Below are 15498 nucleotides of genomic sequence, written 5' to 3' on the forward strand. Positions count from 1 at the left end.
CTAACTACTTGAAACTACATGTTACTGTTAACTATAGTCATCCTATAGTGGTACACTAGAAGTTGTTCCTCCTATCTAGCTTTCTATCGCTTCCTTCCTCCTACCTTTCCTGGCCTATAGCATCCTCTGTTCTACTTTTTACGTCTATGAGATCACCTTTTTTTTTTTTTTAGCTTCCACATATGAGTGAGATCACGCGTTGTTTAACTTTCTGTTCCTGTTTATTCCTTAACATAATGTTTGAGGGGGAATTTAAATGCAAGAATGTAGATGTGAAAAATGAAATGGGTAGGTACAGCCAACAGTACAGAAAATAGTATGGAGGTTCCTAAAAAAATTAAAAATAGAATACCTTATGATCCAGCAATCCCACTTCTGGGTATATATATCCAAAGGACATGAAATCAGCATGTCAAAGAGATAGCTACACTCCCATGTTCATTGCAGCACTATCACAATAGCCAAGATATGGAAACAACCTAGATGTCCATCAACAGACAAATTGATAAAGAAAATGTGGTATACATATACAGTGGAATATTATGGAGCCTTTAAAAAGAAGGAAACCGCCTGGGCACGGTGGCTCACGCCTGTAATCCCAGCACTTTGGGAGGCCGAGATGGGCGGATCGCGAGGTCAGGAGATCGAGACCGTCCTGGCTAACACAGTGAAACCCCGTCTCCACTAAAACTACAAAAAGAAATTAGCCAGGTGTGGTGGCAGGCGCCTGTAGTTCCAGCTACTCGGGAGGCTGAGGCAAAAGAATGGCGTGAACCCAGGAGGCGGAGCTTGCAGTGAGTGAGCCGAGATCGCGCCACTGCACCCCAGCCTGGGCAACAGAGCAAGTCTCCGTCTCAAAAAAAAAAAAAAAAAAAAAAAAAAAAGAAGGAAACCCTGCCATTTGTGACAACATGGTTGAATCTGGAGAACATCATACTAAGTGAAATAAGCCAGACATAGAAGGACAAATACTGTATGATCTTACTTATATGTGGATCTAAAGCAGTCTAAATCACCTAAGACAAACTAACTTGCCTCTGTAACCCTTTGAAAGCAGGGTATCGCACATGAATACTTCCAAACGCAAAATCAATTCTGTGAGTTTCCGTAGTTCACCATTCATCAGGTACTGCTTTTTGCGAGTACAAACATATTTTTCTGCCGGGCACAGTGGCTCATGCCTGTAATCCCAGCACTTTGGGAGCTGAGGCGGGTGGATCATGAGGTCAGGAGATCGAGACCATCCTGCCTAACACGGTGAAACCCGTCTCTATTAAAAATACAAAAAATTAGCCGGACGTGGTGGCGCGGGTCTGTAGTCCCAGCTACTCTGGAGGCTGAGGCAAGAGAATAACTTGAACCCAGGAGGTTGCAGTGAGCCGAGATAGGTCCACTGCACTCCAGCCTGGGCGACAGAACGAGACTGTCTCAAAAAAAATTTTTTTTACCTACTATAAAATAAAATAAAATAAAATAGCCAGGTGTGGTGGGATGCACCTATAGTCCCAGCTACTCCAGTGGCTGAGGCAAGAGAATCCCTTGTTTCCAAGAGTACGAGTCCAACCTGGGCAACATAGTGAGACTTTGTGTCTAAAACAATTAAAAATAAAATTAAATAGTCAAAATAATAGTAGAAGAGAGTGGAATGGTGGTTGCCAGGGGCTGCAAGGAGGGGAAATTGAGGAGACGTTGGTCAAAGGATACAAAATTTCAGTTATGCAAGATGAATAAGTTCTGGAAGTCTAATATATAGCCACATGACTCTAGTTAACAATACTGCACTGTATACTTGCAATTTGCTAAAAGGATAGATCTTAAGTATTCTCACCACAAAAGAAAAAAGAAATGGTAACTATGAGAGGTGATAGATCCATTAATTAGCTTAATTATGGTGATTATTTGGATATCCATATATCAAAACATCAAGTTGTACACCTTAAACATATGTAATTTTTGTCAGTTATGCCTCAGTAAAGATGGGGAAAGTGAAATGGGTGGAGGATTTTGAGAAGTACAGGAGCATGAAACAGTGATAAATAAAAATGCAAACTTCTCCACTATAAACCTAATCAGGATAGGAGTTTGGTGTGGTTGAAAACAATGTTTATGCAAATTTACAAGAAAAAAACAACTCCATTAAAAAGTGGGCAAAGGTCATGAACACTTTTTGAAAGAAGACATACATGTGGCCAATAATCGTGTGAAAAAAAGCTTAACATCACTGATCATTAGAGAAATGCAAATCAAAACCACAATGAGATACCATCTTACACCACTCAGAACAGTTATTATTAAAAAGTCAAAAAATAACAGATGCTGGTGAGGTTGCAAAGAAAAAGGAATGCTTATACACTGTTGGTGGGAGTGTAAATTACCTCAACTATTGTGGAAGACAGTGTGGTGATTCCTCAAAGAACTAAAAACAGAAATACCATTTGACCCAGCAATCCCAATACTGGGTATATACCCAGAGGAATATAAATTATTCTATTACAAAGATACATGCATGTGTATGTTCTGCTTTATTTTATTTTATTTTATTTGTTTTGTTTTGTTTTGAGATGGAGTTTTGCCTCTTGTTGCCAAGGCTGGAGTGCAATGGCACAATCTTGGCTCACTGCAGCCTCCACCTCCCAGGTTCAAGCAGTTCTCCTGCCACAGCCTCCTAAGTAGCTGGGATTACTGGCACCTGCCACCATGCCCAGAAAATTTTTATATTTTTAGTACAGACGAGGTTTCACCATGTTGGTCAGGCTGGTCTCTAACTTCTCACCTCAAGTGATCCACTTGCCTCGGCCTCCCAAAGTGCTGGGATTACAGGCGTGAGCCACTGCACCCGATCTGCATATGTATGTTTATAGCAGCACTATTCACAATAGCCAAGACATGGAATCAACCTAAATGCCCATCAGTGATAGACTGGATAAAGAAAATGTGGCTCCAGTGGCTGAGGCGGGAGGATCCCTTGAGCCACATATACACAATGGAATACTATGCAGCCATAAAAAAGAATGAGATCTTGTCTTTTACAGGAACATGGATGGAGTGGGAGGCCATTATCCTTAGCAAACTAACGCAGAAACAAAAAACCGAATACCACATGTTCTCACTTATAAGTGGGAGCTAAATGATGATAACACATGGACACATAGAGGAGAACAACAAACACTGGAGCCTTTCAGAGGGTGGGGGGGTGGGAGGAGGGAGATGATCAGGAAAAATAACTAATGGGTACTGGGCTTAATACCTGGGTGACAAAATAATCTATACAACAAACTCCCATGACACAAGTTTACCTATATAACAAACCTGCACATGTACCCCTGAACTTAAAATAAAACTTAAATAGAAAAAGAAATAATGTCTATTGAATACCTACTATGTATTTGGCATTTAACAGGTTTTTCTTATTTAATCCTCATAACAGGTAGTTAGATAGGTATTATTGGCCTCATTATTTTATTATAGGTCAATAAAGTGAGGCTCAAAGGGCTATAAAATGTATTCACAGATGACAGATGAGTGGAAGACCTGGAATTCCTACCCAGATCTGACTTCAAGGACAAGATTATCTTCCTGTGATAATAATTGCCTCCTCTGAACATTTGCAGTTATTACTGTCTGTGCTGTTCATCATTGCGATGTGGGGTTTTGTTTTTGTTTTCGAGACGGAGTCTTGCTCTGTCACCCAGGCTGGAGTGCAGTGGCACAATCTCAGCTCATTGCAACCTCTACTCCCTGGGTTCAAGCGATTCTCCTGCCTCAGCCTCCCAAGTAGCTGGGATTACAGGCACCTGCCACAACACCTGGCTAATTTTGTATTTTTAGTAGAGTTGGGGTTTCACTCTGTTGGCCAGGCTGGTCTCAAACTCCTGACATCAAGTGATCCACCTGCCTCAACCTCCCAAATTCTGGGATTACAGGTGTGAACCATCGTGCCTGGCCCATCCCAATGTATTTTATTACTTTATGACTTATTTGAACCTTCCTTCAGGCTAAGGTTCAAATGGCAGATTAAGCTCTCAGGCATGCAGTGCCTTTCACAATCTGACTCCCATCACCTTTCCAGCCTCTTCTCTTCCCACTCCAAGCCATCCTTGGTGTCACAGCAATGAAACAAATTCCGATTAGAACTCCTGCTTCAAAACCTTTGCTCATTCTGTTATTTTTGTGATAAAGTTCAAACTCCTTAACATGTTACCTACCTTTCCTAACGACCTACCTTTCCAGAATCCACCCCCATTCCAAATACCCTGAACTTCAGCTGCATCAAACAAACGCACCATTCTCTGTGCTATTCAACACCTCCCAATCAATCCCCATGTGTTCTACCTCAGCCCTCAGAAAGAAATGTCCCAACTTCCCCTATCTCTACACAAGTTCTTTCTGCTCCATAGAATGCACTTTCCCCTTTGCTTGGTGAAAATTTTTTTTTAAACTTTGTATTGTGTACCAAATATCACATTATTGGTGGAGCCTTACCAACCTTCCTTATGGCATTTTATTGTCCTGATTTGTAACTTTTTTGTTTGTTTGTTTGAGACACAGTCTGGCTCTGTCACCCAGGCTGGAGTGCAGTGGTGCTATCTTGGCTCACTGCAACCTCCACCCGCTGGGTTCAAGGGATTCTCCTGCCTTAGCCTCCCTAGTAGCTGGGATTACAGGCATGCGCCACCACGCCCAGCTAATTTTTGTATTTTTAGGAGAGACAAGGTTTCACCATGTTGGCCAGGCTGGTCTTGAATTCCCGATCTCAAGTGATCCGCCCTCCTCGACCTCCCAAAGTGCTGAGATTACAGGTGTGAGAAACCGCACCTGGCCAGATTTGTAATATTTTTGACCATCTACTTTTTCCTTTTTTTTTTTTTTTTGAGATGGAGTTTCACTCTTGTTGCCCAGGCTGGAGTGCAATGGCGCACTCTCGGCTCACCACAACCTCCGCTTCCCGGGTTCAAGCAATTCTCCTGCCTAAGCCTCCCGAGTAGCTGGGATTACAGGCATGCACCACTACGCCCGGCTAATTTATTGTATTTTTAGTAGAGACAGGGTTTCTCCATGTTGGTTGGGCTGGTCTCGAACTTCCGACCTCAGGTGATCTGCCCGCCTTGGCCTCCCAAAGTGCTGGGATTATAAGCGTGAGCCACTGCGCCCAGCCTTATTTTTCCAAGAGTCCATCAGCTCCCCAAGGATAAAGAAATGGACACATTCATTCAGGTGTCATTAGAACCTGGCATACAACATATGCGCAATAGATGTCATGATGAGTGAATTAATTAACAATTCTTCTTTGAGTCTAGTATACCCCTCATTTTTAACATTAATTTGTAACCCAAAGGCCTCATAATAACCAGTGAAAATTTCATAAGAAAACTTTTCTCTGCACTCTTTCTACCAAGGCAACAAAAAGAAAAATATCACACACAAAGAAATACTTGAGGCTGGGCACCATGGCTTATGTCTGTAATCATAGCACTTTGAGAGGCCAAGGCAGGAGGATTGCAAGAGCCTGGCAGTTGCAGACCAGCCTGATCAACGTAGGGAAACTTTGTCTCTACAAATAATTAAAAAATTAGCCGGGAGTGGTGGTGTGCCCCTGTAGTCCCAGATACTTAGGAGGCAGAGACAGGAGGGTTGCCTGAGCACGGGAGGCTGCCATGAGACATCATCATGCCATTATATTCCAGCCCCAGCAACAGAGCAAGATCCCGTCTCAAATAAAGAAAGAAAGAAAAATACTTGAGTAAGTGGAAAAATAAACCATATTTTTGAAGGAGAATCTGGTTAGAATAAAGATATTATCAAAGTAATTGCTCATGTAGATTCCATCAAATTCTCAAAGAGAATTTTTTTAGGGGTTCATTTTTGTTTTCATTTGGGCCTTGCAAGATGATTTTAAAGTTTATCTGGGTGTTCATTGTACAATTCTTTCAACTTTTCTATATTTGACTTTGTTTTTTTTTGGAGGTGGAGTCTTGCTCTGTCACCCAGGCTGGAGTGCAGCAGCTCGATCTCGGGTCACTGCAACCTCCACCTCCTGGGTTCAAGCGATTCTCCTGCCTCAGCCTCCCAAGCAGCTGGGATTATAGGCGCTTGCCACCACTCCCAGCTAATTTTTGTATTTTTTGTTTGTTTGTTTGTTTTTTTGAGATGGAGTCTCGCTCTGTCACCCAGGCTAGAGTGCAGTAGCATGATCTCGGCTGACTGCAACCTCCACCTCCCAGGTTCAAGCGATTCTCCTGCCTCAGCCTCCTGAGTAGCTGGGACTAACAGGCGCCTACCACCGCGCCCGGCTAATTTTTGTATTTTTTTTTTTAGTAGAGATGGGGTTTCACTATCTTGGCCAGGCTGGTCTCGAACTCCTGACCTTGTGATCCATGTGCCTCAGCCTCCCAAAGTGCTGGGATTACAGGCTTGAGCCACTGCACCCGGCCAATTTTTGTATTTTTGATAGAGATGGGGTTTCACCATGTTGGTCAGGCTGGTCTTGAACTCCTGACTTCAGGTGATCCGCCCACCTCGGCCTCCCAAAATGCTGGGATTACAGGCGTGAGCCACTACGTCCCACCCAAATTCCAGATTTTAAATAATTATATGTAAAAAATGAAATTAAAAAAAATTAGAAGGAAACGTGTAGGTATTTAATTCTAAAAAGGGATAACTTTCTAAGTACAAATGGAAAAAGAAATAATAAATTTCAGGATTTTTGCAAAAAAAATTTAACTTCAATTTATCAGTAAGAATTGAAAGTTAAGGCTGGGAGCGGTGGCTCACGCCTGTTATCCCAGCACTTTGGGAGGCCGAGGCAGGCGGATCACGAGGTCAGGAGTCTGAGATCAGCCTGACCAACATGGTGAAACCCCGTCTCTACTAAAAATACAAAAATTAGCTGGGCGTGGTCGTGGGCGCCTATAATCCCAGCTATTCCGGAGGCTGAGGCAGGAGAATCGCTTGTACCCGGGAGGCGGAGGTTGCAGTGAGCAAAGATGGCGCCACTGTACTCCAGCCTGGGCGACAGAGCAAGACTCTTGTCTCAAAAAAAAAAAAAAGAAAAAAAGAAAAAACAAAGTTAAAAAGAAAAAGAAAAAAAACTTGGAAATAGGACACATGACACATGAATATACTATTCCTTTATATCAACCTTTACAAATCAGAATAACACCGTAGGCAGGCCACGGTGGCTCACACTTGTATGCCAGCACTTTGGGAGGCCGAGTGGGTGGATCACTTGACGTCAGGAATTCGAGACCAGCCGGGCCAACATGGCAAAACCCCATCTCTACTAAAAATACAAAAATTAGCCAGGCATGGTGGCGGGCACCTGTAATCCCAGCTACTTTGGGAGGCTGAGGCAGGAGAATCGCTGGAACCTGGGAGGCAGATGTTGCAGTGAGCCAAGATCACACCACTGCACTCAAACCTGGGCAACGTAAGCAAAACCTCGTCAAAAAAAAAAAAAAAAAAAGAGAGAAGAAATACATATATACATATATATATGTATATATATATGTATATATATGGAGACACTAGGAACACGAAAAATATTTCAAATATTCAATTCAGTGAAAAAAAGCAGAATATAAGTGGTTATATTTATTAATTGCAACAACATAGAAATATGCGTATATAGGAAGTCAGGTGCAACTGAAAATAGTTGTGGATTGTAGTTGTAATAGGACTGGAGGTGGTTTTTTTCTCCCTCTCAAAATTGTTTGTAGTTTTTAAAAATTATCATTAAGAAAATTATGGGCTAAAAAAATGGGCTGAGTGGGGTGGCTCACTACTGTAATTCCAGCATTTTGGGAGGCTGGGTAGGAGGATCACTTGAGGCTAAGAGTTTGAAACCAGCCTTGGCAACATAGAGAGATCCCCATCTCTACAGAAAAACCAACTTTTAAAAATTAGCATGGCCTGGCCGGGCGCGGTGGCTTACGCCTGTAATCCCAGCACTTTGGGAGTCCGAGGCGGGCGGATCACAAGGTCAGTAGATCGAGACCACGGTGAAACCCCGTCTCTACTAAAAATACAAAAAGTTAGCCGGGCTTAGTGGCGGGCGCCTGTAGTCCCAGCTACTCGGGAGGCTGAGGGAGGAGAATGGCATGAACCCGGGAGGCGGAGCTTGCAGTGAGCCGAGATTGCGCCACTGCATTCCAGCCTGGGCGACAGAGCGAGACTCTGTCTCAAAAAAAAAAAAAGAAAAAGAAAAAAATTAGCGGGGCCGGGCACGGTGGCTCACACGTGTGATCCCAGCACTTTGGGAGTCTGAAGCGGGCGGATCACAAGGTCAGGAGATCGAGACCATCCTGGCTAACACGGTGAAACCCTGTCTCTAATAAAAATACAAAAAAATTAGGGGGGCGTGGTGGCGGGCACGTGTAGTCCCAGCTACTTGGGAGGCTGAGGCAGGAGAATGGCGTGAAACCGGGAGGAGGAGACTGCAGTGAGCCCAGATCACGCCACTGTACTCCAGCCTGGGCGACAGAGTGAGACCCTGTCTCAAAAAAAAATAAAAATAAAAATAAATTAGCAGCCGGTGCAGTGCCTCACACTTGTAATCCCAGCACTTTGGGAGGCTGAGGTGGGCGGATCGTTTGAGGCCAGGAGTTCAAGACTAGCCTAGCCAACATGGTAGAGCCCCGTCTCTACTCAAAATACGAAAAAATTAGCTGGGTGTGGTGGCAGGCGCCTGTAATCCTAGTTACTCAGGAGGCTGAGGCAGGAGAATTGCTTGAACCTGGGAGGCGGAGGTTGCAGTGAGCAGACATTGCACCATTGCACTCCAGCCTAGGCAACAAGAGTGAAACTCCAGGCCTGGCATGATGGCTCACGCCTGTAATCCCAGCACTTTGGGAGGCCGAGGTGGGCAGATCACCTGAGGTCAGGAGTTCGAGACCAGCTTGGCCAATATGGAGAAATCCCGTCTCTACTAGAAGTACAAAATTAGCCGGGTGTGGTGGCGCATGCCTGTAATCCCAGCTACTCGGGAAGCTGAGGCAGGAGAATCGCTTGAACCCGGAAAGTGGAGGTTGCAGTGAGCCGAGATTGCGCCATTGCACTCCAGTCTGAGCAACGAGAGCGAAACTCCGTCTCAAACAAAAAAACAAACAAACAAACAAAAACAGCCAAACTCTACCTCAAAAATAAAATAAAATTAAAAAAAAAATTAGCCATGTGTGATGGCAAGTGCCCGTAGCCCCTAGCAACTTGGTAGGCTGAGGAGAGAGGATTCCTTGAGCCTGGAAGTTCAAGGCTGCTATGAACTATGATCATACTACTGCACTCCAGCCCTGTCGACAAAGTGAGGCCCTGACTCAAAAATAAATTGGCCAGCAGTTGCTCATGCCTGTAATCACAGCACTTTGGGAGGCCGAGGCAGGCAGATCACTTGGGTCCAGGAGTTCAAGACCAGCCTGGGCAACATAAGGAGACCCAGTCTCTACAAGAAATAGAAAAATTAGCCCAGCTTGGTGGTGCACACCTGTAGGCCCAGTTACTCAGGAGGCTGAGGTGGGAGGATCGCTTGAGCCTGGGAGATGAAGGCTGCAGTGAGCTATGATGGTGCCACTGCGCTCCAGCCTGGGCAACAGAGGAAGACTCTGTCTCAGGAGAGGCGCCACCTTTACAAATTTATGACCTGCTTTTAGACAAATACGGGGATGGCAGAGAGTTTTCCTTGTATTTGCTTCTTCTCAATTGTCTTCAGCTCAACATAGTTAATATGCTGAAATGGCATATTTTGGTGTGACATATTCTGCTACCCTTCCAGCTGTATTTTTTTTTTTAAGAATTCATCCTTCACAAAATAAGGTCTTTTCCTCCTTCACATTATAATGTATCCCTTTGAACATTATCTGTAACTTTTATAAAGCTGTTAATCACAGAGTTTCTAAACCTCAGCACTATTGACATTTTGGCTCAGATAATTTTTTGTTGTTTGTGTCTTAATCACTGTATGTTTAGCAGGATCTCCGTCTCCACTTGCTAGGTGCCAATAACATCGCTTTCCAAAAGTTGTGGCAACCAAAAATTTCTCCCCATATTGTCAAATGCTCCCTGGGGCTGGCGGGCAAAATTGCCCTTGATTGAGAACCACTGCGTTAAAGGAAAGTCAATGGCATAAAATGAGAGCGTGTAGCTGGCTAGTTATGCCCTTATTTTACCACGAGAGGTCTCCCTAGACCCCATTATAGTTCTAATCTGGACAATACAGGGCTAAGGGCGCCACCAAATAGATTGTTATGACTTGGTGGATGGTGACAGTAGGTTTACACACTAAAGCAGTTGATCAATCTCCCATGCAGAAGAATTCCAAATAAATTATGTAACTACTCTACTGCAAAGGAGGGGACTATAACTCCTCACTCCTTAAGTGTAAGCTCTGCATGGTGACTTCTGTCCAAAGAGTATGACAAGGACTGGGAGGAGTCACTACAGTGGGGGAACCTGACAATCAGCCAGGTGATCCAGGAGAACATCAACACTGATAAATCATATTGATAGTATGTACCCTTGATATGATGTCATGAAAATGGCACTTTACCTCTGTGTCATCCCCCCAAAACACACATGACCCCAGTCTAGTCATGAGAAAAGCATCAGACAAATCTTAATAGAGGGGTGGCCTGCAATATACCTGATGAGAACTTCTCAACACTGTCAAGACCATCAAAACTGGCTGGGCGCAGTGGCTCACGCCTGTAATCCCAGCACTGTGGGAGGCCGAGGCAGATGGATCACCTGAGGTCAGGCATTCAAGACCAGCCTGGCCAACACAGTGAAACCCAATCTTTACTAAAAATACAAAAATTAGCTGGGTGTGGCAGCGAGTGCCTGTGGTCCCAGCTACTCAAGAGGTTGAGGCAGGAGAATCGCTTGAACCCAGGAAGCGGAGGTTGCCTTGAGCTGAGATCATGCGACTGCACTCCAGCCTGGGCGACAGAGCGAGCCTCTGTCTCGGAAAAAAAAAAAAAAAAGAAAAAAGAAAACAGCATCAAAACCAAGGAATGTCTGAGAAACTATGACAACCAAGAGAAGCCCAAGGAGACATGGCAACTAAATGTAAAGTCGTCTCCTGGCTGGGATACTGGAGCAGAAAAAAGGACATCAGGTAAAAACTAAAGAAATCTGCATAATTATAGCAAATGTGCTACACTAATATGCAATATTAATAATACAGGAAACTATGTCAAGGGCAGGGTTATATGAGGACTCTATATGCTGTTCAGCTTTTCAGTAAATCTAAAACCACTCTAAAATTTGTCTATTAATTTTAATTTAATTTTATTTTATTTTGAGACAGATTCTCACTCTGTCACCCAGGCTGGCATGATCTCGGCTCACTGCAACCTCTGCCTCCTGGGTTCAAGCAATTCTCCTGCCTCGGCCTCCTGAGCAGCTAGGATTACAAGTGCCCGCCACCACGCCCGGCTAATTTTTGTATTTTTAGTAGAGATGGGGTTTCACCATGTTGGCCAGGCTGGTTTTGAACTCATGACCTCAGGTGATCTGCCCGCCTCGGCCTCCCAAATTGCTGGGATTACATGCATGAGCCACTGCGCCTGGCCTAAAATGGTCTATTAATTTTAAAAAGCATCTGATCAAGTACTGCCTTGGCAAAATAAGCAAAGAAGCCTTTAAAATGATGAATTTCCTAGAATTCTGTTTTTTTTTTTTTTTGACTTAGTTCTCATTACATCACCCAGGCTCGAGTGCAGTGGCATGATCATAGCTCACTGTAGCCTTGCATTCCTGGGCTCAAGTGATTCTCCCACCTCAGCCTCCCAAATAGCTGGGACTATAGATGTGTGCCACCACGCTTAGCTAATTTTCTTATTTTTATTTTTTGTAGAGATAGGATCTTGCTGTTGCCCAGTCTGGCTTCAAGGGATCCTCCCATCTTGGCGGCCCAAAGTGTTGGGATTACAAGTGTGAACCACCACGCCCGGCCTTAGAATCTTATTGCTGATCTCAAGGGAATAATTTGGTGACTGTCATGTGAAATGCCACCTTCACAAACAAATCCATCTTCTCACTTTATGCAGCAGTATCAGTTAAGAAAAACGAAGATTGACACCAAAGAAAAAAAACTTTGAATAGAATAAAGAAGTCCAACTATTTTTTTTTTTTTTTGAGATGGAATTTCACTCTTCTTGCCCAGGCTGGAGTGCAATGGTGCGATCTCAGCTCACTGAAACCTCTGCCTCCAGGTTCAAGCAATTCTCCTGCCTCAGCCTCCTGAGTAGCTGGGATTACAGGCATGTGCCACCATGCCTGGCTAATTTTGTATTTTTAGTAGAGATGGGGTTTCTCCATGTTGGTCAAGCTAGTCTCGAACTCCCAACCTTGGGCGATCCACCCACGTCAGCCTCCCAAAGTGCTGGGATTACAGGCGTGAGCCACCACACCTGGCTTTTTTTTTTTTTTTTTAGATGAAGTCTTGCTCTGTTGCCCAGGCTGGCGTGCAATGGCTCCATCTTGGCTCACTGCAACCTCCACCTCCTGTGTTCAAGCGATTCTTCTGCCTCAGCCTCCCGAGTAACTGGGATTACAGACACACACCACCACACCTAGCTAAGTTTTGTATTTTTAGTAGGGATGGGGTTTCACCATGTTGGCTAGGCTGGTTTTGAACTCCTGACCTTAAGTGATCTGCCCACCTCGGCCTCCCAAAGTGCTGGGATTACAGGCGTGAGCCACCATGCCTGGCCCAACTACTTTAAATAATTCTTTCTATTCTAACAGGTGTGTAAAAGTGGCATGATCATGTGAGGTGAATAAGAACTATTGTATCTCATTGCTATCCCTTCGAAGTTGATACTATATCCCAGTACCATATTCAGATGAGGAAAATTGAGTCTTGAAGAGATTATGAATCTGCCCAAGATCACAGAGCTAGCAAGTGACGAAACTAAAATTCAAACCCAGGTTTTTTTTGTTTTTTTTTTTTTTTTGAGACAGAGTCTTGCTCTGTTGCTCAGGCTAGAGTGCAGTGGTGCGATCTTGACTGAAACCTCTGCCTCCTGGGTTCGAGCGATTCTCCTGTCTCAGCCTCTTGAGCAGCTGGGATTACAGGCGCCGGCCACCACACCCACCTAATTTTTGTATTTTCAGTAGAGACAGGGTTTCACCATGTTGGCCAGGCTGGTCTCAAACTCCTGGCCTCAGGTGATCTGCCTGCCTCAGCCTCCTAAAGTGCTGGGATTACAGGCATGAGCCACTGCACCTGGCAAGAGTAAATATTTTTAAATGAGACATTAAGACCTGGGTTTTGGCTGCGTACAGTGGCTCACGCCTGTCATCTCAGCTCTTTGGGAAGTCAAGTCAGGAGGATCATCAGCAGTCAGGTGTTTGAGACCAGCCTGGCCAACATGGCAAAACCCTGTCTCTACTAAAAATACAAAAATTAGCCAAGCATATTGGTGGGTACCTGTAATCCCAGCTACTCGGGAGGGTGAGGCAGGAGAATTGCTTGAACCTGGGAGGCAGAGTTTGCAGTGAGCTGAGACCATGCCGTTACACTCCCGCCTGGGCAACAAGAGCGAAATTCTGTCTTAAAATAAAATAAAATAAAAATATTCACTCTTAACTCTTTGGCAATATTTCCTCCCACCGTGTGACAGTCGAGGTTATTCACTGCACTGTAGAGTAGGTATGATATAATTAAATGGCACTGAACAAAAACCAGAAGTCTGGATCCTCCTTTGGCTCAGGATACCAATTTCCTTACCAGAAAATTGTGGATAATAATACCTTGCCCTGTTGACCTCACTGAGTTATTTTAAGGGTTAAATGAGAGAATCTATGAGAAAATGTCTTGCACCCCGTGAAGCAGGGCATTGTATCACGAACACATTTTTACTTTCCAGCTTTCTGCAAATATGTGTGTGAGTTAATTGTAAAATGGAATGTGTGCAGATGATTGAAGCGCACTTCCGACCAGAAGGCTTAGAAGAAAATTTTGTCAGCTTTAAATTTGCCCTTTGAATAGAAGATCCCAAGCCCATGGTCCTCATCACTGATTACTTGTGGAGTTTTGTTTTTTTTGTTTTTTTGTTTTTTTTTTGAGACAGAGTCTGGCTCAGTCACCCAGGCTGGAGTGCAATGACACAATCTTGGCTCACTGCAATCTTTGCCTCACAGGTTCAAATGATTCTCCTGCCTCAGCCTCCTGAGCAGCTGGGGTTACAAGCATGCATCATCACACCCAGCTAATTTTTTTTTTTTTTTGTATTTTGGGTAGAGATGGGGTTTTACCATGTTGGCCAGGCTAGTATCAAACTCCTGACCTCAAGTGATCCTCCTGCCTCAGCCTCCCAAAGTGCTGGGATTACAGGCATGAGCCACCATGCCTGGCCACTTGTGGAGTTTTTAAAGGGATCCATGGCCGGGCGTGGTGGCTCACGTAATCCCAGCACTTTGGGAGGCTAAAGCCGGGAGATAACAAGATCAGGAGTTTGAGACCAGCCTGGCCAATATGGTAAAACCCCATCTCTACTAAAAATACAAAAATTAGCCAGGCGTGGTGGTGGGTGCCCGTAATCCCAGCTACTCAGGAGGCTGAGGCAGGAGAATCCCTTGAACCCGGGAGGCAGAGGTTGCAGTGAGACGAGATCACACCACTGCACTCCAGCCTGGGTGACAGAGCAAGACTCTGTCTCAAAAAATAAAACAAAATAATAATAAAGGCATCCATGACCAGGATCTATCCTGGACCAATTAAGGCAATTAGAATTGCCTAGGAGTAGGGCATGCGTGGCACTGGTATTTTTCAAAAGCTTTCCAGGTGATTCGCATATACAACCAAAGCTGAGAACTGCTGTCCTAATTGATCTAAAGTCTGCCCAATTCCATGGGGGCCCAATGTTACCCTGTCTGCACAGACTGCTCATCACCCTGCAAAACTGATGGAGTTGGAATATTCCCAACAGGAAGTGAAGGTAAAATAAAAGTCTGGTCAGTCAAGCTGCTAGGACAGCAGATGATATTGTCATTTGACTAAATGAAATGGACCTATTTGTTTCACTCAAAGAAGGAAGAGCCCAGTCAAGGGAAGGAGAATGCAGCAGAAAGGAGAAGTAGCTGGCCATGCAATGAGTTCGTACTCTGCCATGGTAGAACGCTGGTCTGAGCTGCTGTTTAAACTCTCGCCTCTGCATCTCAGTTGATCTTGTGTATCATGTTGTCTGATGAACCTCTGTTGGGAGCCTGGGCCTCCGTGCTGGGCAGATCAAAGCAACAATTAAGCTTACAAATTAGTAAATTAACCCTGTTCAAAAACAGGCCACAGAGGCCGGGCATGGTGGCTCATGGCTGTAACCCCAGCACTTTGGGAGGCTGAGGCAGTCGGATCATCTGAGGTTAGGAGTTCAAGAACAGCCTGGCCAACATGATGAAACCCCATCTCTACTAAAAATACAAAAATTAGCTAGGCGTGGTGGCACATGTCTGTAATCCCAGCTACTTGGGAGGCTGAGGCACAAGAATTGCTGGAACCTGGGAGGC

The 15498-nt window shown here is 44.4% G+C and overlaps 2 annotated features.

The window, feature by feature from the left end:
• Nucleotides 9992-10286: a silencer, noted in NCBI's record as "tiled region #3101; HepG2 Repressive DNase matched - State 8:EnhW". NCBI's record gives its function as "represses a minimal TATA promoter and a strong SV40 promoter by Sharpr-MPRA in HepG2 cells {active_cell/tissue: HepG2}" and the evidence as "EXISTENCE:reporter gene assay evidence [ECO:0000049][PMID:27701403]".
• Nucleotides 10269-10338: an enhancer, noted in NCBI's record as "active region_12506". NCBI's record gives its function as "activates an Ori minimal core promoter by ATAC-STARR-seq in GM12878 lymphoblastoid cells {active_cell/tissue: GM12878}" and the evidence as "EXISTENCE:reporter gene assay evidence [ECO:0000049][PMID:35858748]".

Source organism: Homo sapiens, chromosome 17, assembly GCF_000001405.40.
Source record: "Homo sapiens chromosome 17, GRCh38.p14 Primary Assembly".
Lineage (NCBI taxonomy): Eukaryota > Metazoa > Chordata > Mammalia > Primates > Hominidae > Homo > Homo sapiens.